General features: G+C 35.5%; 1 protein-coding gene across 38 annotated transcripts in view, besides 1 other annotated feature; it reads right to left on the reverse strand.

Annotated features, from left to right (window-relative positions):
- The window catches only part of PTPRD (protein tyrosine phosphatase receptor type D), a 2,298,757-nt gene that overhangs the window by 1,222,092 nt on the left and 1,051,767 nt on the right, over positions 1 to 24,898 (reverse strand). The window lies entirely within an intron of this gene.
- Positions 20,552 to 21,225: an enhancer, noted in NCBI's record as "OCT4-NANOG-H3K27ac-H3K4me1 hESC enhancer chr9:9556889-9557562 (GRCh37/hg19 assembly coordinates)". NCBI's record gives its function as "activates a minimal SCP1, AML or CMV promoter by ChIP-STARR-seq in naive H9 embryonic stem cells {active_cell/tissue: H9 hESC(naive)}" and the evidence as "EXISTENCE:reporter gene assay evidence [ECO:0000049][PMID:30033119]".

A 24,898-nucleotide genomic window follows, 5' to 3' on the forward strand; every position in this document is an offset into this window, starting at 1 on the left:
CTCCTCTATGACTCTTCAAGTTGTAAGATTCTTTCTTTAAAAACATTTAAAATAGAATTTGCATATTAAAGGACAGGAATTAATTATTAATTATTTGCCTAAGAAACAGCATTTGGATGGCATGAATCTAATGGAATCAGTAATATCCATGCATCTGTTGAAAACCAATCAACCCGTTTAAGATTTCAAATTACGATCTGAAATGTGAAAATGATTGGTAGATTATCAAACTCACTGGGCTGGACAGAGCAATATGTCAGCACCTTTGCCCACGTCCACAGCCTGAAAGCTTTTGAAGGTAAGCAGCGCCGTCATCATTTTGGCATTCTATTTTAGTCTAAGCCTACATCAGAAGCCTGCCAGGGCTCAGTGCTGATAACAAAGCACTATCGCTTTTCAAAGTGACAGAGCACAGTGACATATCAACACTAAGACTTAAACGAAAAGCCCCTTCTCATTTAACTGGGAATCTGCTGAAGCTGTATTCAGCCCAGCACTCGTTTTCAATTAAAACTTTCTTGTCGCAAGAGAAAAGTTTGGCATATCCTTTTCAACGACAGTTATGGAAGTGAGTGGAAAGGGTAGTGTAGTGTAGAGTATAGATGGTCCAGGAACAGCTAAGTACGTATCAGCCTTTTTCATCTACTAATTGCAGTACCTATGGTTCAACAAAAGTTTTACCTAATGACTCATGTTGCTGAAAGTCCTTCCTCTCAATACCACTGCTTTTCCAGGAATGCTACTCACACACAGCATATAAGGCAGTAAAGGGGACATGATGCATCAATAACTGAGTACCTGCTATGTGCCAGCTACTATGAGTAAGAAGGTGGAGGGTTCTTACCTGTGCTATTTCATGAAATTCCTACCAAGGTGTATGATATAAATAAGATTCTTTTCATTTTTTTTATTTTTATAGAAAAAAACGAAGTTTTAACGAACTTCTGTACAGTCATACATCTTTTAAGTAGTGGAGTTGGAATATGAATGTGCATCCATGTCGTTAGTCCAGTTGCTATAATTTTAAAGTGGAGAATTATGGGTAACATCAACACAGTGACATCATCATACTTTTCTTTTTAAATGTTATGGCACATTCAACAGCACATTTTCTTATCGTGGAGTTCCTGAAAAAGACTTAGTCCATAGTCTAATTTTGCTCTTAAAACCAGTTCAGGACAATTCAGCAAAACAAATTTCAAATACAAATCTATCACACATCTTAGAATCTGTTTTTGAGAACTTTATTTGGGTGCCTGTTCTTAGACTAAGGCATAGTTCAATAGAATTCCCAGTGAATTTACTGTAAAGATATGGCTAAGGGTGTTGTTTAGATATCACCTAATAGCTTTATGAAGCCCTAAGACAGATGTTTCTCACAAACCTCACTGTTAAAAATAATTCTGCAGCTTAAAAGTAACTGATATTAAAAACTTTGTATCTCACAGATACCACCCATTATATAACTAAGCTTTTACCCTTTGTGTTCAGTCACTAATAATCTCAGGGCCAAATTCATTTACATTTTAATGAGCTTATTAATTTTTTTCATATTTAAATTTATACTTAGATTGGTTTTAATATTTTTCTTTCTCTGTACCTTTGTATCCTTATCCTCATTCGTTCTGTGTTACTATGCATATTTTTACAATCTCCCCTACTACTTTTGGGAGTGGGATAAACTATTAGTAACAAACTAAACAGAATCTGGACTGGAGTCAGACAAAGGGTGTAGGCCAGACTTCTTGGTACACTTTCTATACCACTAGATCAAATCAGAGCATCTTTCAAAGTATTTCCTCATATTTCGCAGTGGTGTTTCAAATCACTAAACTGAAACATTGTGTTTTTCTTTAGATTGCTAGCAGTGAAAGAATAGACTTTCTTACTTCAGGGGATAAAAACCCTCACTACTGTTGATAAAAAATAATTTTAGTCACACACACAAGCACAGCACCAGTTAAAATTTTCAAAGGAGTATTTCCCTTTAGGGATAAAAACAAGTTTCTGGCAATTTGTCTCCGAGACAACCATTAAGCATAAAAAGTGTTTTACATATATATGTATATATTTAGTAGAGCTTATGTTCCTCCCTTAGAACACATTTTTCTTCAAAAAGTATTTTAGTGGATTGGCTCTACATCAAATCTCTGTCGTCTTTAAAATGGCATGAGTCAGTCTGCCATCCTTTGATTGATCAAAACTTGGACCAAAGAAGGGCAGCCATATGGCACCCAACTCAGTAATGCTATGCTGCATACTGCAGAATCTGGAATCAGCAAATGCCAAGAAGCAGAATGCATAGTGATGTATGAATTAATGCAGGCAGACAGGAATAAAAATATTGATGCATTTTTAAATCGATATTGATACATATACGTCAATGAATAGTTACCAAATTATTTTTACTTCCCAACAAATGCTCTAATGAAAGACTATGAAAAAGGCTTTGGTTCAAAAAAGGAGTCAAGTAGAACTGAACCTACATTCAAATTCATACTTTTGTTTTGGTTTAATTTTTTCTTTTGGAATATAATAACACTGGCATAAGAGATATCATATGGATATGTAATTCAATCATTTAGTAAATTATTTTCTGAGTACTTCCTAGTGCCAGACACTTTTCTAGGCTCTGATGATAGAGCAGTAAGTAAGACAGCCATGTTCCTGTTATGGAGCTTAGGTTCAAGTATGCCAGACAAAAATTAAAAAAGAGAGTTCTGCACAAGATAATTTCACATAAGTACTATGAAGAAAACAGTACAGGGTGATGTAATAAAATAATAGCAATGGGTAAAGAAGGAGTTACTTAAAACAGGGTGCTCACTGGGGACATATTTTTTGAGACCTAAATGAAAAGGAGTCAATTATAAGATATGCAGATGGGATGCACACTGAAGAATCAGTGGCAGGTACCTAGGCCCTTAAGTGGGAATAAACTTAGAATGTTGAATCAGTAGGAAAGCTTCTGTCACTTGAGCATAGGGAATGAAAGGGGGTAGGTGGGAGTTGAAAAAAGGAAAGACATCGTGATAATATGGGAGGCTTCTGTTGAAAATGACTTTTGTCTCTTGGACAAGCAAGACTTAACTTACCTGGACCTTACATTTCTCATAAGTCATGAGCTGATCTTTGGGGGTCCAACTCTAAAATATTCTGATAAAATAATTCTTCTTAGAGTCCTAGTTAGGCTTTGATTATTCCTTCACATTAACTATGTGTGGCCTTTAGAAACACGCTGTCTTTAACTAAAAGTGTTCATCCAGTTAACTGTATTAGCAATGTACTGCATTTTAAAAGTGATGGATAAAATATACAAGTAAAATAAGTTCTCCCAAAGTGCTCACTGCCATTAACTGGGAGTGTTGTCCATTTGTGGAAACTGCATTAAACTCTTTTAGGATGTTAGAATGCTACTCACTAAATTGCTGCTTTGGTTCAGCATATAGGAAAAGCATTTCCAGTTAGCTAAACTCTAAGCACATAAAGGTGAATATATAAAAGCAATAAACATTTAGGAATCCATTTTTTAAATCAATGGTTTTCAGCCCTTTTCCAAATGTGATACCATTCTCACATCCATTTCCATTAGTAATATTCCTTAATGGGGGAATAGAAATTACCCTACACGGATATTTGAATAATTTTATCCCATTTTGAGATGAAATTCTTCCTAGGGAAGTATACTCCCCCTTTCACTCTTCCCCTAGAGTTATTCTTTTAAAGTTATTAATTATACAAAGAAATCCACTAAGTTACTAAATGCCTTCTTACCTACTACTGCATATGTAGCTTTGCATTCATAACTTTGGCATCTTAGTACTCCATCACTTGGCTAATATCTGCCACCCAGGGCTTTGCAATATGCTGGTGTGACAGGATCAGATGAGATATGTTACTCACACAGTCATTCATTTAACACATTTTACTACGTAAACACTGAGTATAGGGTACTATTCTTTGTGCTAGGGATAGAACTGAGGTAAAGAGACATGATTTCTACCTCCTGGAGATCATGGTGTAGTATGTGTGTGTATGCCAGATATAAGGTGAGATGGTTACAGACAGCAGCCATCTTTACAGACAGATTACAGTGATGTACAATGTACAGTAATGAAGTCTATGATGGAGAAAGCACTGAGTGAAATAGGAGTACCAAAAATGCTACCTAGCACAGGTTGAAACAGCCAGAGACTATCCAGAACAAGGGACATTTAGACAGAAGTTGAGAAAAGAAGTGGCAATAACACATATAAAGTGGGACTTGAAAGAGGAGACTTCCAGATGGATTATTTTTTAAAATCCTGTGGTAAAAAATATGTTTTATTAGTTTATTAATATTAGGTTATATTACTGCATTTGTCGATTTGGTGACAGGAAGTTGAGATAAAATCTCCTCTTTTGGTTTCTACTTCCTCTGTGCCACCAGTAAATGAAATCATCTACTTAAAGGGAAAAGTTATGGGCCCTGAAGTATTAAGTATAGGTGAGAAAGTATGAAATATAAGTAGTGACATTGGTTCCACTTACCGCTGGGATGCAAAACGTTGCCATAAATTTTTGTTCCTATCCTAATACTAAGAACAATAGATAAGCTAAAAGACTGTAGATTTCTTTTTTATTTTTAACTTATCAGATAGCTGAAGATATTAAAAAAACAACTAAAAAGGACTAAATAGAAAACAAATACCTCGTTCTAGGAGCAACTATATCTGTAGTTACTTTCATACCTTGCTGAGTGACAGGAAGAGGAGAAATACACGGTAGACCTCAAGAAATAACGAAAAAATTACTATGGTGGCTCACTATGAACCAACTTTCCTAGGCTAGGAAGTTCCTTGAACTTTGGTCCAGGCAAAGTTAGAAGTGTTATATAAGTGGAGCCTTGAAAAGCACTTTTAAATTAGGGCTTATCTTTTTGGAACACTCCCTACAGGACTTCAGTTGCCATGATATAAGGAAATTGAGGTTATACTACTAGACTGAGAGGTCATATGGAGGCGCTCTGGAAGATGAAACACCATGTGAATATAGCAGTCACATGGAGAAGAATATGAAGGCCCCAGAAATAGGAGAGACGCCATCTTGGAACTTCCAGCCCAACCCAGCTACAACCATGTGAGAAACCTCAACAAATATCATGTAGAGCAGAAATGCCTGAACAACCAGAATCTGAGGAATGCAAATGTTTAAGCCACTGGTTTCATAGATATCTGATCTGGTATATCAGTTTAACCTTTAACAACGTTTTAATTATACATATGACATGCATGATGAATTAGAATCACAAGGAGGCTTAGCTATAGAACAAGCATGAATCCAGCCACAAACATTTCCCCAAAGGCATTTACCAAGTGCATAAAGTGGTATGCTGATGGCTAGGACAGAATAGAAGAGCTAAGAATGTTTCCACTGAGGCACGCAGAGAATATTTCCAGAGTAAGTCAGTGGTCTGGCTGAAGAGTGGCAGCAGGGCAGGAATGGTGAGGTAATAACTATGGTGTATTTTGGACTTTCACTGAGTAACTATTGAATGTTGGGTGGGGAAGAGAGGTATCTAAAAGAAGAAAAGTCTAAGATAATGACTCAAGATTCTAGAGAAAGAAGTTAGCAGAATAAGAGTAAAGTAAACCCAGAATAAGGCAATATTCAAGATAAGAGGAGAGGTCAACAAAATAGAAAAGAGACAACACAGTAGAGAAAACTAAAGTGAAAAATTGGTTCTTTGAAAAGATCAAGAAAAATGACAAACCCTGAGTTACTCTAATCAAGAAAAAGGAGATACTTACAGAAAAAAACGAAAAAAGAGAAGAACACAATCTACTGCTATCAGGGAAGAAAGATTATCGCAACAAACCCTGGAGACAGTATAAGAACAATTAGAGAATATCTTGAGCAACTTTATGCCAATAAATTGGGTAATTTAGGTGACAAACAGGTATCTTAAAAAATAAACATTGATTCCTGTCTCACTTAATGCCAAAAAAGATCATGGACCTGTACGAAAAATTAAGAATATATAGGAGAATATCTTCAAGCTTTGAAGGAGTCCAATATTTCTTATACAGGACACAAAAGCTCTTACCTTTAAATAAAAAACACTAACAATAAAAAAGTTATATTGAATTTCATCAAAATTAACAATGCCAAATCATCAAAAGATATCATTAAAAAGATGAATAAGCAAGTCAAGCTACAGACTGGAAAAAAATATCAGCAGTATTTATATCTAACATAGGTCTTATATACAAAATATATAAAGAACTTGACAAATCAATAATATAAACACAAATGACCCAATTAAATCTGAGAGAAAAAGAATAGGCACATCCTAAAAGAGATATATGAATGGTCACCAATCAAGTGAAAACGGTACTCAACATCATTAGTCATTACAGAGATGCAAATTAAACCACAATGAGATGACATTTCAGTTTACTAAAATGCTTAAAATCAACAATACAATTCCTAGTGTTAACAACCATGAGGAGCAACTGGAACTCTTACAAAATTCTAAGGGTTTTGTGCTGCAGGAGCATGAAATTTAATAATTATTTTAGAGAACTGCTTGCCACTTCGTTATAAAGCTAAACATAACCCTACTCAGCGTTTTCTAGCAATTCCAGTAATTCTCTAACAGATATTTACCTGAGATACATGAAAACGTATGTCCACAAAAATCTTGTGTGAGAATAATCATACCAATTGAAAACAATGCAAGTGCTCATATACATGGAAATAAACAAATTGTGGTATATTCATACAACGAAATACCGCTTAGCCATAAAAAGGAATGGGACTACTAATAAAACAACATTAATGAGACTCAAAAACATTTTGTTGAGCAAAATAAAACATACATGAAAGAATGCATATTTTAAGATTCCATTTACATGAATTTTAAGAATAGACATAACAAATTATGGGGATGCTATTCAGAAAATGTTGCCACTGGTGGATGTTAGAGTTGTAGAATTGATTAGAAATTTGCACAAGGCTACTTTCCAGAGGGATGCAAATGTTCTATAATTTGCTTCATTTGTAATTCCAAAGGTATAAGGTATAAACAATTGCTAAATTCTCTGGGCTTCACATTATATCAATATCATGTATCACTTAATATAATTGTTTTTATTTTATGTAAATTATATCATAATAAAGATTAGGTAAATTTCAAAATTTTAATTGACTTAAGATTTACTAAGTTTTCCAAGGTAGGGTAGATTTAATGATAGATTTTTTGGTGATGGATAATGCAGGTACAAATAACTTGCTGAGAATTATGCAAATCTCAGAGCCCATTTTATGTCACAGATAAGCCTAGGATCAAGGCCATCAACCTTGATTGTTACTGAAAACAAACAACAAAAACAAAAACAAATCAAAGAACAAATGAATTTTCGTTCTAGGCTACTTCTTTATAATCTAGTCTATACTATAGTGTTGCACACTTGATTTTTCTAAAAGGTTATTAAAACATGAAAATAACTGCTTTTGGGAAATCAAAACAATACGTGCTTAACTATTGTTAAAACAATTTGTGTTTATTAAACGTATATTAGAAGCTACCATTTTCCAGAACTTTTAATACAAATTTTGCTTTGAGTCCAAATTTTATCAGGTAACTGTCAGATTAGAATCCCTCCACCTTCAATTTTGTAAGCTATTCCAAATTTCATAAAACCTGACTTAATCTCTTCTCTTGTAGAAAATGCATCTAAGCTATTGCCCATATCTCTGTGATACACTTCAAAATAACCTTGGTTTGAATTAAACTTAAGGATAAATGGTGAGCATTAGGAAGCCTGTTTAATACCAAACTATTTTCTATAAAACAGTACTTTTATTTATATCCGTGGATTTTACCATTTCTCCCTAAAAATTGTACTATAAGAACCAAATGTGAAAAGCAAGTATTAACCATTTGTAATATTAATTTCTGCGACATTTTAATTAATTGAATTAAAAGCTTATTTTTAGGTTTCCTTATCAGAAAATATCATTTAATCAATGAAGGTTCCCAAAATAATTACTTTGTATAAATATTTTAAGTCCGACTTCATTTTGATTTTTTAGGTACATATGACACACATTTCTTAACCTTTTTAAGGTTTAGATTTAATTAAGATATATTTATTTCAAAATAATCTCACTTGAGGGCCTATATACTTAATGCAATGATGCTAAAAGCAGTTTGAGAACATCTCTCGACTGTGTCTTCAAATGTATTCTGAACCACAAAGAACATCAGTCACCTGACCTTATAAAAACATTTTAACCAAAAATATTTTAATATCTACATGCACTTTTTGCTTTCATACAAATTAAAGTCATACAGCCATTTTTCTAGGCTCACAAAATTTTCCTTGGATCATAAAAAGATAGATATTTTGAGAAAACACTAATAGGTCTAAGCTTTATGTATTTTATTATAATAATTTTATTTTATACTTTTGTTTTAGATTTGGTATTCTGCTTTAGAATTTTATTATAGTTCAACTATAATAGTGAATTAAAAAGTAGGAAATCTGAGCAAATTCTAGCCGATAGCCCACATTTCTAGTTGGGATGGGTTTCTGACTATACCTGAATATGTGTGGAGGTTTAAGCTAATCTAAATCTCATCTTGTTGTTCTTGATTATTTTTATTTTTTAGAGGAGTTTTACATTCACAGCAAAATTGAGAGGAAAGTATAGAGATTTCAAATATACTTCTTGTCCCACATATGGATAAGGTTGCCCCCATTACCAACATCCCCCACCAAAATAGTACACTTGTTAAAATTGCTGAACCTATGTTAACATCATTAACACCCAGATTCCTTTGTTTACCTTAGGGTTCACTCTATGCATGAGTTCAAACTCATTCTATGGGTTTAGACAAATGTATAACGACACACACTTGCCACTGTAGCATCATACAACATAGTTCCACTGTGCTAAAAATCCTCTGTGCTGTGCCTATTCATCCCTCCCTTTCTCTAACCCCTGACAACTACTGATATTTTTAATGTCTCCACAGTTTCGTCTTTTCTAGAATGTCATATAGTTTGAATCATACAATATGTAGCCTTTTCAGATTGGCTCTTTTCACATAGTAATATGCATTTAAGATTCCTCCATGTTTTTAAAATTCTATTGTTTAGATGTGCCACACTTTATCCATTCACCTATTAAAGAACATCTTAATTTCTTTCAAATGTGAACAATTATGAATAAAGCTATTTTAAATATCTGTGTACAGAGTTTTTGCATGGACCAAAATTTTTAACTCTTTTAGGTAACTACTCTTGGTCTATTCCTGATTTCTTTATTCTGTTACACTGATCTGTACATCTGTTCTTTCATCAGTATCACACTGTCTTGATTACTGTAGGTGTATTGTATATCTTGAAGTTCGCTGATGTCAGTCCTCCAACTTTGTTCATTATTGGCTATTCTGGGTCTTTTACTGTTCATATAAACTTTAGAATTAGTTTATTGATATCTACAAAATAACTTGCTGAGATTTTGACTGAGATTGCATTGAGTCTATAGACGAATTTTAGAAAAAACAACTTGAATATATTGAGTCTTCCTATTTATAAGTATGGAATATCTTCCCACTTTTTAATTTTTTTTATTCTATCAGGGTTTTTCAGTTTCTCACATAGATCTTGTCCATATTTTGTTAGACTTACACCTAAGTACTTCATTCTTTTGGTAGCCAATATACATGGTATTGTGTTTTTAATCTCAATTTCCACTTGTTTATTTCTGGTATATAGAAATATATAGCAGTTTTTTTCACTAAATATATAGTTTCAGTGAAATTTTGTTTTGTTTTGAGTTTTGTGCATTAATCTTAGATCCTGAAGCTCTGCTATAATCCATTATTAGTTCCAAAAGTTGTTGTGGAATTTTTGGAATTTTTACATAGAAGATCATGTCATCTGAGAAAAAAAAATAGTGTGTTGCTTTCTTCTCAATCTATATACCTTTTATTTCCTTTTCTTGTCTTATTGCATAAGCTAGAACTTATGCAATTTTTATAGCAAAATTAAATACCAGATGTTTCTTTTCTGCACATTCTCATGTATTTCTATTTTATCTTCTTTATTCATGTTCAGTTTTTCTAATTAATGCCATTATTTGCCCTCCTTAGGTGATTTTGCATAGAATCTTTGTTCTTTTCTATGTATTTATCTTAATTTTCAGTTTTGTTTACCTCTCTAGTAGTGACCATATTCCACCGACAATTACTACTACCTTTATGCTATATAAATTATCCCTTTTATATGTAAAATTCTGGCAGTAATGCACAAATTTAAAAGTGTTCCTCTTATACCAGTAGATTCTGTGTTTATAGTAATAATAATTACTAACTTATTGAATGTTTATAATATGTTCCACTAAGTACTAAATATTGTGCTGTGCTTTATATGCATTATGTTATTTAATCTATAATGAAAAATTTTAAATCTTGAGAGTCATATAATTTATGATCTTAATATAGTGGAGTAATTACCAAACAGTGTTCCTCACTAAAAGAGCATTAAAACCACCAGGTAAATAATGGAACCCTATTACATGGGTAGTGAGTTAAAGACTTGTGTTAAAGTTCTCCAAATCAAAATGGAGTCACTAATGTTAAAAAAAAAAATAAAAATAAAAAGACAAAAAATAAAAAATAAAACCTAATAGAGCAGGGGAAGACTATGAAGAGAGGGTTCTCATGCTTGTATGCTTGGTAACAACAGCTATCACAAAGACTCTACAAAAACCATAAAATTGCACAAATGCCATACCAAACTTACACAAAAATACTTCTACAAGGAAACCCTGTCTAAATTGGACTGATGTCACTCTTGCTATCGATTTTGTAGCCAATAACAATTATTTCAGAAAAAGTACGCAGTCATCCTCATCATTCCTTACAAACCTTTGTGTTCCTTTACCTCCCTGAATGTGCAGAGCTTACTACAGTGTGCATATTCCATTTGAAATGCTCTACTTCCAAATAAACATCTTTTTCTTTTGGAAATCCTCTCTCCCTTTTTATTTAGGTTGCCATTCAAAATATAGATTCAGTGAAATTTTTGTTTGGTTCTCAGAGCCAGGACTTAATTAGGAATCAAGCTGCCTAGCCTGTTGAAATCTCAGAATGCTCACTTGTAAAACATCGATAATAATAGGGTCTACTTTCAACTGTTTGAGGACTAAATGCATGTAGAGTGTGTGATTCAGTGACTGACACTCATAGTAAAGGCTGAATAGGTCATAGTTGCTTTAGTCTTGTGATGACATGCCATAGGATATCTGTATGACAAGGATATTTTGTACATCAGGATATTTAGCCCTTCTGACAATCCAAAAGAAAAAGTATTTGAAGGCTATTTTCCAAACTTTTCCAATTGTTTTCCCAATTTGATAAGAGCTATAAAACCAAAAATCTAAGAAAGCTCAAATAAACACAAATTCACACACACACACACACACACACACACATCAGGAAAAAGTCCAAGGCATATAATAAGCAAATTGCTAAAAATGAAACATAATGAGAAAAATGTGAAAGAAGCTCAAGAAAAAAAGGCTTATTATATCAAAGAGAACAATGATAGGAATTTTTTCTGACTTTTCTCACAAAAAATGCAAGACAAAGGACAATGAAACAAAATCTTTCAAGAGTTGAAAGTGTAAAGAAAAACACTGCTGTCCAATATTTTTTATCCAGCTAAAATGAAGTTGAAATAAAGATATTTGCTGAGCAATGTAATACAATTTGTCATCAGCAGATATGCACTTCAAAGAATGATAAAGAAAATTCTTCAAGTTAAATGAAAATGATACTAGATAGAAAATTCATTCCAAGTGAAGGAAGAAGAAAGCTGGAAATGATCAATAATAAAAGTGACTAATAGAAGATAAATAGCAAGAATACAGACCTAAACCCAAATTTATTCACAATTGCATTAAAGAAAAGAGACTAAAAATGTAAGCTAATCATTCAATTAAAGGGCAAAGATTGCCAGAGTGTATGACAGAGCTTGATTCAATTACTTGCTACGTATATGTGACTTTTTTTCTTTTTTTTTTTTTTTTTTTTAAGACGGAGTCTCGCTTTGTCATCCAGGCTGGAGGGCAGTGACATGATCTTGGTTCACTGTAACCTCCGCTTCCTGGGTTCAAGTGATTCTCCTGCTTCAGCCTCCTGGGCTACAGGCGTCTGCCACCATGCCTGGCTAATTTTTGTATTTTTAGTAGAGATGGGGTTTCACCATGCTGGCCAGGCTGGTCTCAAAGAGATACACTTTTAAAGTAAAGACACAAAAGAGTTAAAAGCAAAAGTATGATAAAAAACGATGTATTATAAGCACTGATCATAAGAAAGATGGAGTGCCGTATTAGACAAAGTTGACTTTAAGATAACGAATATTACCAGAGATAAAAGAGCATATTTTATAATGATGAAATGGTCAATTCGGCAAGTAGACATAGCAATACTAAATGTATATCCCTTAAAAGAAAACTTCAAAAATAAATGAAGCAAAGATTGACAATACGAAAGGAAGAAATAGAACATTTTTACCATTATATTCAGTTATTTTTCACTCTTGCTCTCAGTAATTGACAGGAAAATCAATTTAGTTATAAAAGATTTGACCAACCTTCTCAAACAATGTAACTGATACTTTTAGGACACTATATCAAACAACTTCAGAATATATCTCTTTTCAAGAGGAAAGCATAGGCAACTATCTTTGCAATCTTGAAGTAGGCAATATTTTTTAGATAAGAAATAGAAAGCACAAACTTATAAAAGAAAAAAAGCTTAAAACTCGGGCTTAATCATTTTTTAAAATTCACCTTATCAAAAGACATTGTAAAAAATAAGCAGCCACAGGTTAGGAGAAAATTATACATATATATGTGTATAATGTATATATTACACACACAGACACACACGACAAAGGACTTGTTTCCAGAATATATAAAGAACTCTTATAACTAATCAAAAGACAATCCAATTTTTAAATGGGTGAAATATCTGAAAAGACATTTTAAAATGAAACCATCCAAATAGCCAATAAACTCATAGAAAAGTGTTCAACAGCATTAGTTATCAGGAAGATGCAAACTGAAACCATCATAAGATGCCGCCACATCTCTACCAAAATAGATAGTCAACAAGACTGATCTCATTAACTGCTGGTGAAGATGTATTAAACTTAAACAGTCGCTATGGTCCAGCAATTCCATGCCTCGTTATTTACCTAAGAAAAGTAAAAACATGTCATAAAAACACTTATACAAAATTGTCTCATACACATGCTTCACTGATTTTTGACAAGGAGATAAAAGCAATTCAATGGAAAAATGATTCAACAAATGATGGTGGAACAATTGAACATACATAGACCAAACAATGAGCCTCAACTTAAACCTCATACCTTACATAAAAACTCTCAAAATGAAGAATAGTCTTAAATACAAAACACAAAATACAAAACTTTTAGGAATGTATACAAAACACACAGAATATCTTGGGATCTAGGGCTATGCAAAGATTTCTTAGACATGACATCAAAAGAATGATGGATAAAAGTAAAAATAAATAAATTGGGCTTTCTGCCCAATAGATAATTGGACTAATTTTTAGTGCCAAATTGGTTAGACTGTAGTGACCAGTTGTTTGGTCAAACCCCAAATTAAATGTTGCTGTGAATATATTTTTAAAATGTGATTAACATTTAAATGATACCTTGAATAAAGCAGATTACCCCCCATAACATGAATGGAATTCATCTTATCAGTTGAAGGCCTTAAGAGAAAAGACTTAGGTTTACCAAAGAAGAAATTCTGCCTCTACTGTAGCATAGAAATTCTGCCTAAGTTTCAGACTTTAGGCTGCAATATCAACTCTTACCTGAATCTCCATCCTGCCAGCTTTCCCTACAGATTTCAGACTTGCCAGCTCCTGCAATCACATAAACCAATTTCTTATAATCTCTCTCCCTCTCTCTATGGAAAGAAGTATATATATTTCTCATATACATATAGTTCTCTCTCTATATATATGAAATGTATAATTTTATATATAAAATTATATATTAATGTATATTATGTATAGTATTATACGTAGTATATTATGCACTATATACTATATATATGGTATGATATGTAGGACAATATATTATGTATAGTATTATGTATAGTATAGCATATATATATTATATAATGTTAATATATATCCCAATTTATCCTATTGGTTCTGTTGCTCTGGAAAGCCATAATACAAAGTTCATAAAAACAAGAACTTTTGCTCTGTAAAACCCCGCATGAAAAGAATGTAAAGATAAGTTACTTCCTGGGATAAACTAGTTGCAAATCACTTATCTGGCAAAGGGCTAGTATAAAAAATAAAGAACTCTCAAAATTCAACAATAAAAAAATAGCAAAGGAGCAAAAGACATGAACAGACATTTTACTAAAGAGGATATAGAGAGTATATAAGTACATGAAAATATGTTCAATATCATTAGCCATCAATGTAAATTAAAATCACAAGAACATATCACTACACATTAACTAAAAATGGCTAAAATAAAAATTAATGATATCACCAAATGTTGGCAAGTAGAGAAACTGTATCACTCATGAATTGCTAGTAGGAATATAAGTTCCTAGAGTTATCTGAAAAATGGTCTGAAAATTTATCATGCAAATTTAATCATGTAAATACTACATGACCCCATAGTTACACTCAATTTATAATTTAATGTATATTCTTGAAAAATAAGAACTTATGTTCACCCTAAACCTGCATATGAATGTTTCAAGGAGCTGGGGTAGTATGGAGGGGCTCATTTATAGTGATAATCAACCTGGCGCTAAATAAACTGCATAAATTTTACCTGAGAAGGATCAGTAAATGCTTAACTGAAAAATCTTATAAAGCTGACAAACGGAGGTCAAAACCTTACAAGCTTTAGAAATTCAGTATTTAAATTAAGGGTCTCTAATTATTCCCTAAAGGTGAATAATTCCAGTTATCTATTCGAATATTCTAGCTTTCCAGTGGTAGTACTAGGCAACATTGATTATATTTAATTTTACATCAATACAAGTCTTTTATTCTATACATAACACATTAGTGAAATGGTAATAGAATATATATATATGAAAATTCACTCTGTATCTACCTACTGGAGTTCTGACACAGGTTCGCATAAAGCTGGATTTGATCTTCCAGAGTACAGGCTGAAGATATTACATTAATGTTTGGCTCCTATATGGTTCTCAGTACATCCTTTGTTCTTCTTTCATCAAGCCTTCTTTAATTCCATTGGACTTTCCATTTTAATGGTGAATTAGTACATGCCAGTCCTACTGCATATAGCCTGGGATAAAAAGCTGATCTTAGAACCCCACAAACTAAGCCCCACCAGATTGTACCAGAGTAAGGGACACTGCCCCAAACCAACTTATGTATCTGCTAGTGGACTGTAATTTAGGATACTGTAAGTTGCTCCCCAAAAGGAAAATGTGGAACAATGGGATCATCTCTCAGTGAGTTTGAATTAAAGACATGCAGAAAGAAATCAGAGTTGGCTGACATAGAAGTGAGAAAAAAAAAATGAGGAAGTAAACTGAAGCCATGAGGCAAAAGAAGCAATCCATAAGCAAAAGTATAAAGACACATAAGCCCAACTCTTTATCACCATCACCTGAAGGGCTTTCTAGGTGTCAGACTCTCCTCTCACTTTCATAATAGTCAATATTCATTTACTCCTCAGTTAAGACAGGTATTAGTATCTCACTTTTACCAATAAAGAAACAAAGGCTCAGAGAGGTAAATTGATTTACCCAGTCTGATTCAAAAATCCATGCCATTTCCATTATTCCACGCCATCTCTTAACAAAACAGAAGGAAAGCAGTACATAAAGAGTATTGAAGAAGGAAGTGATTTTAATTTCAAGTCAGTCATTGTTTTTGCTTTTGTTGGATAATTTCGCAGTCAATTGCCATTTTCTATATTTAGTCATATTTTGAGACATTAGTAAAACTTTCAAACCTCTAAAATTTTGTTACTCCAAACGATGAGCTTTTCAATCAAATCTTGAAAAGTATTGACTATTAAATAATTTTAACTTCCTAAATGTAGTTCTTTATAACTTACTTCAGCTTATGAAATGAATTGTGCCAATTTTTAGTGGGACTTCTTTTATATGCAAATACTTGCTTCTCTGTAGTAAGCCTATAGCAAACTTCTTCTGTCTAATGACCTAAGAATGCTCTGAGATTTATCTAGTGTTTTGCAGACATTGCTTCTTGGGTTCAAGGTTAGTGCTCAAGAAGACTAGATTCCTCGGTTCAAGGTTAGTGACTGGGAAGACTTTAGAGATTTCTGCATTTTTGTGGAGCAAAATCACATTGTGACATGGCTGCTTTTCAAAGATGAATGCTTCATTCAGCACTTTGCTTCATTTCCTAATACAATTGAAAAGTCATTTGCTGACAGTAAACCAGTGGCAGGTGTGCTTTCGTGTTGACAGCTGCTATTCTGACATGGATCACAGACAAGCTCTACTGACAGTGCTAGAACATCTGGAGCATTTGGTCAGATTTCAAAAGCTAATTTAAGTGGACTGTCTTCTTCCATTTCAAAAAATGAAAGCAATTATGGACACTGGGACCATATTTACATTGTGATAGTATAATAATTTATTCAATTTCTTTTTTATTAAATATGGAGGCAAAGGCAGCAAAGCATGCCAATACATCTAATGTCTGGGAAGATAGTTTGTAATGTAGCTTACTGCAGTCGCCTGCTCCTATTAAGATTTCCTTTGATATTGTGAAAGCAATTGATTGACAGAAAATGAACTAAAATTTCATCCCTATAAATATGTTTCTGAGAAATTGTTATACGGATTTATACAAAGAAAACATTTAATATTTATTGAATGAATGAATTCAGTTTATTTTTTTCTAATTTCTTATTAATAATATTCATTGCCAACACTTACTAAGCAGCATTTCTGCCAACATTGTACAAACCTAATCACTTAATCTCCAGAAATACCCTTCAAGGTAATAACAAATGACATAATTCCCATTTAACAGATGAGGATACTGAAACTCAAATAATTAAGACAACTGCCCAAACTCTATAAGTAGAAGGTAGAAAAACTCGGATTTTTTTTTTCCACATTGGTATTCCAAAGATCATGCTCTTTCTACAGTGTTTTGGTGTTTCTAAATGACAGTATGGATACCCCTTACTTACTGAATTAATAAGGTTAGTAAAGAAAGCATACAATTTTTCTTTACTGAAAAGTAAATACAAATATGCTTGACTATATTGTTGACAATAAGGGACTTCCTAGCAAGCTATTCAGGTAGGAAGAAAATATTAAGTTTTATACTTGGAAATTGTTAGACAAATGAAGCAAAGGAATTTAATGTGTTTCAAAGTTCAATAATTACATTTAGACTAAGAAAATAATGCTTACACATTCTCACGTATCAGTTACTTAATTGCTGATTATTGGGCCCTACTGGAGTGAAGGAGGAAAGTTGACAGCTGCAGGCATATACCCTCTGACAACAAAGCTTACATATGTGAGCATTGCTTGCTACAGATTCTGGGTATTTTAAAAGCAATGAGTTGGACAATGATGGGAACATGACATCTGAGAATTGATGCCATTTATGAACATTTTATTATGGATGGGCTAGAAAAGTTAGATTGAAACTTCACCTTTTACGCTTTCATATGACAGTATTTCATGGGATATGTGGGCAAGAATCCAAAAATATTAATTGCAAACTCAACCACTGGTTCATGTGGGTGTATGAAATATGGAAAACACTATCAAGTAATTTATCTTCAATGTTGTGCCAATAAGGATGTGGCCTCTCACACACTGCACACCAGAGAATGTCCATTCAAATGAGATTTGAGCATTTTATGGGTGAATGTCTGACTAATGGATAGAGACTAATATATTCTTCTGCCTCAATATTATAAAGACTGCAGTATTTACTTACTAGTGCACACTGTGACAAATGGTCCTGTTTTATTTTTTTTTTTCTTTGATCCTACTCTTGTTTTTAGGTTACACTGGGAGCTATTTAGAAAAAATGTTGACATGGTTCGGGGGAGTGGGGGTCCATGTCAAGCAAATACTGTAGGGTTAAATATCTTGAAAGAAATATATTCTGGCACCATCCAAGAGAAAATGAACAATCACACTCCTCTGGCACCTGAAGATATTGGTCGTTGTTTGGCACCTGAAGAAATTACCCATGAAATGAACACTTGAGGCTTGACTCATTAGAATTCAACTCCAGTGTCTTCAAATGAATAAGAATCTCTACACGGATACTGAGAAATAGAGATAAAAAGAATTGCAGAGGAAACGTCAACACTTCTTAACTACGCAGGAAACTTAGACTTAATGGAATTTGCCCCATAATGTACATAATGTCAAGGTATAATCATAGGTCAATAAAGTGATTACATTCCAAGCCAGGAAAAACTGCATATTCAATTATTCAATGAAATAAAGTCTATCTGCAAAATGTGGATTTTAATTTGCTTGCTTATACGTCTACATATTCTATATTATACAAGCTATTTTATATCTATGATTTTGTCTAATGGGTTAGAATTTTTATCATTTGTGCAAAGAGGAAAATAATTCTATATTAGAAAATTTAGACTCAGTTCTAAAAGTGGTTTGTTTAAAGGCATAAGTGCATAATGTGAAACATTTCAGAGTTTTGAGCATGGACTTTAGAAGACTGTGTTTGTAATACTGCCAACATGTATGTATTATGAATATGTTCATTTTTTTACATAATATTTGACGTATGATATTATTTCTTATGCTTCTAGAAGACTTTCTAATATAATAAAATATCTTATTAGGGCAGATATATGGCCACAGTCTTTTCATTGTTTACCTATATAAACCTGAATGTTCCCCCCATAATTATTGACCAGTCACCTGTTGAGCAACATCACACATTATTGACTGAGTTCACCAGAAAAAGGGAGAAAGCTGGTGTTTATAGAGTTAGACAAGTATAAATAACCCTGTAGAGTGATTCCCTAAACCTGTCTTTATTTATCGTATTATAGTTTCATCAACTCTGGAAACACACACACATAAACATATACACATGCACATAATTACATGACACTTCATATATTGTGCCACTAAAATTCAGCATTATTGTAGGATGGAAAGCATCTTAACTGATTTCTTTCCTGTTTGCTTTCTATTTTAGAAATAGGCTAAGTTCAATATGTTGTAAATCTAGTACAAGAAGAAACCACGTTTGGCATTTAAGTAGGTCACAAAATATGTCCTGATTTCTTATGTTTCTGAATATACAGATAAAACTACAAAAAACATTAGCTATAAGTACCTTTCCCATTATATTATATGAGAAAATTATATCTAAATGCCTTATAAGAGATTAAATTTTTTAATGCAAATATTAACATTTAATAAATGCAAAACTAACGAATACACCTGAAAGTTCAAAAGATTGTCCTCCTCTAGAAATTATGCATATTAAAACTAAAATAGAACCTTTGCTTCCTTTTAAATTTATTTTTTGTGTCTTAAATTACTCCTTTTATGGCCTTAGATTGTACAGTTGACCCTTGAACAATGTGGGGGACCCCACAGGTAGCCAAAAATCTTTGTGTAACTTTTGATTCCCCATGAACTTAACTATGAATAACCTATTATTGACCAGAAACCTTACTGATAACATAGTCAATTAATACATATTTTGTATGTTATATGTATTATATATTGTATTATTAAAATAAAGTAAGCCAGAGAAAAGAAAATGTAATTAAGAAAATCATTAGAAAGCGAAAATATATTTACTGTTAAGTGAAAGTGGATCATCATAAAGGTCTTCATCCTCATTGTCTTCACACTGAGTAAGTTGAAGAAAGGAGGAAGAGGAGGGGTTGGTCTTGCTGTCTCAGGAAAGCAGAGGAAAAAGAGGTGGAGGAGGTAGAAGGGGAAGGAGGCACGTTTGGTGTAACATTTATTGAAAAAATTTACATATAAGTGGACCTGCCAGTCCAAATCTTTATTGTTCAAGGGTTCAACTCTATTTATTATTCATAACAGTCATAAATAGATTGTAAATTCCTAGAAGTCTATCAATTGTGTTTCACACTTTGAATCTAACTTGCCCCCAATTTTCTTGCCTGGTGCCTTCCCACATTGTAGATCCTCAGTTAATAATTTTCAGTAAGTTATTGTTGCTAGGGCCCCATCTAAGATAAATGAATTGTTTAAAGTATATAACTTTGTCTTTGTATCTCTGAGAGCTAACACAACCCAAATCCTTCAAATTTAGATGGTCAGATGATCAAGTTACATCCAAACTTCAAAATATAATTCCTGGCAAGAAATTGAGAGCTCTGTGGTTCAAAATCTTGATGATGATGGAGTGAAGCCTCAAAGATTTCTCAGTGCCTTGCAGGGTCCTTTCGTTATCAGAAAAGAACAAAGGATTAGAAACCTGTATTCTAATCTCAGACAGTATCTTCAATTCTACTGTAGAAAAGAGTAAAGATTTCAACTGAGATGGACATGGTGGTTCTGTTTGTTACTCTATCACTTTAGGGAACTTATCCCCCTGAGACTCAGTGCTTTATCCACAGAATGCTGATTCATTATTTTGAGTGTGAGAGATAACGTCCATCAATGGAAGAAAAGTAGTATCCTTTCAGCAAATTGTCTGGGTTTCATTGCCATTGTAAACCAAAAACAAAATTATAGCTCCCGCAATTGACTTGTATGTACCCTCCTCTCAGCCAAGGCATTCCAAATTAAACTTGAAAAACTAGTTCAGGCCATGATGGAAGGGGGGAAGGGTGTCCAGACATACCTAAATGTAGCCTCCTACCTTTGGAATTCAGGCACAATTGATCAGCATTAACATTAAAACAGAGATCTTAAGAATGACAAAGCAGACTCTTTGTACCAATAAGATACCGAACTCCAACCTAACTCTAACATAGCATTGCATAGCAGATAGCAAGCCCTGGAAGAAATTGAAGTATTTTATCCCAAAATAAAATTTTTTGACATATTTTGAAATGCACTGCAAAGCTCTCTCTCGGGAGAAAAAAATCTACATGCTATAGAGAAACCCCTTCCCTTTCCAGAGCTTTTCCTAATCCAACAGATATTAATTAAGAAACTGGTACCTTTTTAGATCTGAAAAGAGACTAATACCATCCATTCTTTCTGAAGACTGCTACCTAGAGACTTCATCTGCATAAGAACCTTGGTCTCCACACCCCCTTATCTTAACCAAAACATTCCTTTCTATTGATTCCAGATTTTTTGATAATTGCCAGTTAGAAAAGCTTTGAATCCACCTATGATCTGGAAGCCCCCTTCAAGTTGTCCCATGTGTCAGGTCCTGGAGTCCTGGTCCAGCCCATGCTGAAGTCTGAGGGGAGTGGGTGGATGGGCAGAAAGAACACTCAGGGGCTATAGGCAGGTGAATATGGTTTTATTCAGCGGCAGCTCTCTTACACAGCTTACTTAAACTAGCTTTCTCATTAGCAGCTTACTTTCACACTGTCCACCCTATCTTGGCTGCTTGAGCCAGCAGCCTGCATGCACAGCACACAGCCAGCTTTTACTTGCCTTCAGGGTCAGCAGCTTAACTCTTTCTTTCTCTGAGCACGAGTAAGCTGAGCTGTGACCTGGCTCCCTCCTGTCCATCTGCAAGATGGACAGCTTTGGCTCTCTCTGTCTTTCTCTGGGTGCCAGCGCGCCCACCATGTCAAGCCATGTTGAGCCGAGCTGAACCTCAAGAGCCAAGCAAGCCTGTACAGTGTTAGCAGGGCAGTTGTACCTTTTACAGACAATAGTGGCACAGAGCCAAGTAATGGCCTTTCCATGTTATGGCTACATGGTTGTGATAACAAGTGGAGTTATACATCTGTGCTCTAAACTCACTGAGTCATGCAGAATGTAAACATCCTAACTTGGCCTATCCTTGACTAAGGCACAGCCATATTCCTTACACTCCACCCCTTTGGCCGAGGGAGACATAGGGCTTGGACACACAGGTTTGATACACAGGTTTTGTCACACAGGCCTGCCATACAAACTTTGGGTACACACACCTGATACATAGACAGGCTTGACCCATAAGCCTGACATACAACTGGGAATGCAGGTCCGATACATACACAAGCAACTGAGCACGCAGGCCTGTTACATACATAAGCGTTGATAAACTGCCCATCTATTGGCACAGATTACCACAGATGTCACCTCCTTGGTGATTACCATTCACACTGCCCTGAGTTTAGCTTATTAGCTACTCCGTTTACACCTGGTTTTAAACCATATGTTATCAGTACTAGGCTGGACTGAGACAAAAGTCCAGGCAGAAGGAGCACCCCAGGTAGACCTATCTGTATATAATGCCCTATTACGAATTCGGGGACACCCTTCCTAACAGTGAAGGTTCAGGATCTAGGGGTGTCTCAGGCCCCATGACCTTAGGCCCCAAGGCCTTATGTTGCATTAGGACTACAGGTCCTAAGCCTTTTTGTAACTCTGCTACTAAGGGACTTGTACTCAGTGTACTTCAATGCTCTAAGTAGGCGCCCCACATCACTAAAGTGGATGTCCGCACGTTCCAGTCCGGGGGGGTAGCTATCCATGAGTGCACCCATCCCGTTATTGGGTAAGTCATCTGAATGATGACTGTAGCCTGTCCTGCCACACTCTTATGAGCCTAGAGGGCAGCATATGCAGTTACTAACTGCTTCCCAGTCTGGGGCGTGGTTACCCATCAACACACCCATCCCGCTATAGGGTAAGTTGTCTACAGGATGACTGTAGACTGTCCTACCACACTCTGAGCATGAAGGGCAGCATATGCAGTTACTAACTGCTTCCCAGTCTGGGAGTTGGTTACCCATGAACACACCCATCCCGCTATTACTAACTGCTTCTCTATTAATGAACACTGGCACTTAGCTCCCTCCCGCAGCTGGGACTAAAAGCCTACTGGCACTTCCAACTGCTCCAGCATTGTTTAGGCCCTAGCCAAAACTATCTGTGGTCACATGCACATTCAGTTTTAATAGGCACCCCTGGTTAACTACATGTAGGGCTTGTGCCTACTGAATAGGCTGCTTGGCTGTCTCAGCCTCATCATCCAATCCCAGGTAAGAGGGGCATTGCTGTTTCTAACTCTGCAAGAGAATGAGAGGTTAGCATAACATCATCAATAAGACTATGACATATAGTGGAGCTATGCACATAGCCCTCCAGCAACACTGCGAAAGTCCACTGTTGCCCTCCCATGAAGGTAAACTGTTCCTGGCTCTCTGGACAAGAAGTTCCAGTTCTGTTGTCAAGTGGTCCAGCAAGTCTGTGACAGACCGTACAGCTGCCAACCCATGAAAAACATCCACCCTCAGAATATCCTCAGGCATGGGAGAGACATAAGCGGTGCATAAGTGGAGAGCCAAGCTGCCAATGCCAAGGTGCAGACAGAGGTTTCACTTCCACTGACCAGCTTCCACAGCTGCCAATAAATGCAGTTCTGCCTGGAAACTTATCTGGGTTCAGAGACCAGTGGATTGCCAAGTCCACATGTGGCTCCGGTTGTCCGGTGCCCCCTCAAGTCGGGCTTCTCGGCCAGTTCTCTTACCAAACAGAAAAAAACTACACTTCCACCAACCACAGCAGGTACTCTTTGAACTGGAATGCTAGGGCAGGACTGGGTTGCACAGCAATGTTCTTCTCTCAGACGTCTTGCACTAAGTCTGTACATGACTGTGGACCTTACTTACTTAACTCCCACAACTCAGCCAGGACACAGGCACTAGAGGAAGTACACTCCACCACAGTAGGTGGTCTCTGGGACCACCCCTGGACCTAATAGCTTCTCATGCTCTATTTTCTGGTGGAATACAGGGCGAGCCTGCAAGAACATATGGTGGTAGATTCTAGAAATGTTGCATCTTGCAGGGACTAGGCATGTATTTCCCGCAGCACAGTTACAAATGCCTATCCGACTTTGCTGGCAAAGATATGTTCCTCCTTGGTGTTGTGCACCTCAGGTGCTTCAGCGCCTCCTCCACACTCACAGGGAATCTGTCCACTGCCTCCCATGTTTCCATTGAGGCTCATCCAAGCAGCACCACTGCCACCGGGTACCACAGCCCATGCTGCAGCCACATGGCTGACCGGGCAAGCCTCAGGGGCTGAAGACCCACTCACTTCATCCCACCCTTATTGCCAGTTGTCAGGTCCTAGGGTCCGGTTCCAGCCCATGCTGAAGTCCAAGGGGAGTGGGTGGATGGGCAGAAAGTACACTCTGGGGCCGTGGGCAGGTGAATATGGCTTTATTCAGCAGCAGCTCTCTTACACAGCTTAAAGTAGCTTTCTCATTAGCAGCTTACTTTCACACTGTCCGCCCTGTCTTGGCTGCTTGAGCCAGCTGCCCCCATGCACAGCTGTGCAGCAGGTTCTCCCTTGCCTTCATGGTCAGTAGCTTAACTCTTTCTCTTTCTGGGCACGAGCAAGCCGAGCTGTGTCCTGGCTCCCTCCTGTCTATCTGCAAGACAGGTAGCCTTCACTCTCTCTCTTTCTCTGGGTGCCATGTGCCTGCCATGTCAAGCCATGTTGAGCCGAGCTGAGCCCCAAGAGCCAAGCAAGCCTGTACAGCATTAGCAGGGCAGTTATACGTTTCACAGACAATAGTGTTGTAGAGCCAATGATGGCCTTCCTATGTTATGGCTACATGGTTGTGATAACAAGCGGAGTTATACGCCTGCGCTCTAAACTCACTGAGTCACTCAGGATGTAAACATCATACCTTGGCCTACCCCTG

The sequence above is a fragment of the Homo sapiens genome, chromosome 9 (genome assembly GCF_000001405.40).
Source record: "Homo sapiens chromosome 9, GRCh38.p14 Primary Assembly".
In the NCBI taxonomy this organism is placed as follows: Eukaryota; Metazoa; Chordata; class Mammalia; order Primates; family Hominidae; genus Homo; species Homo sapiens.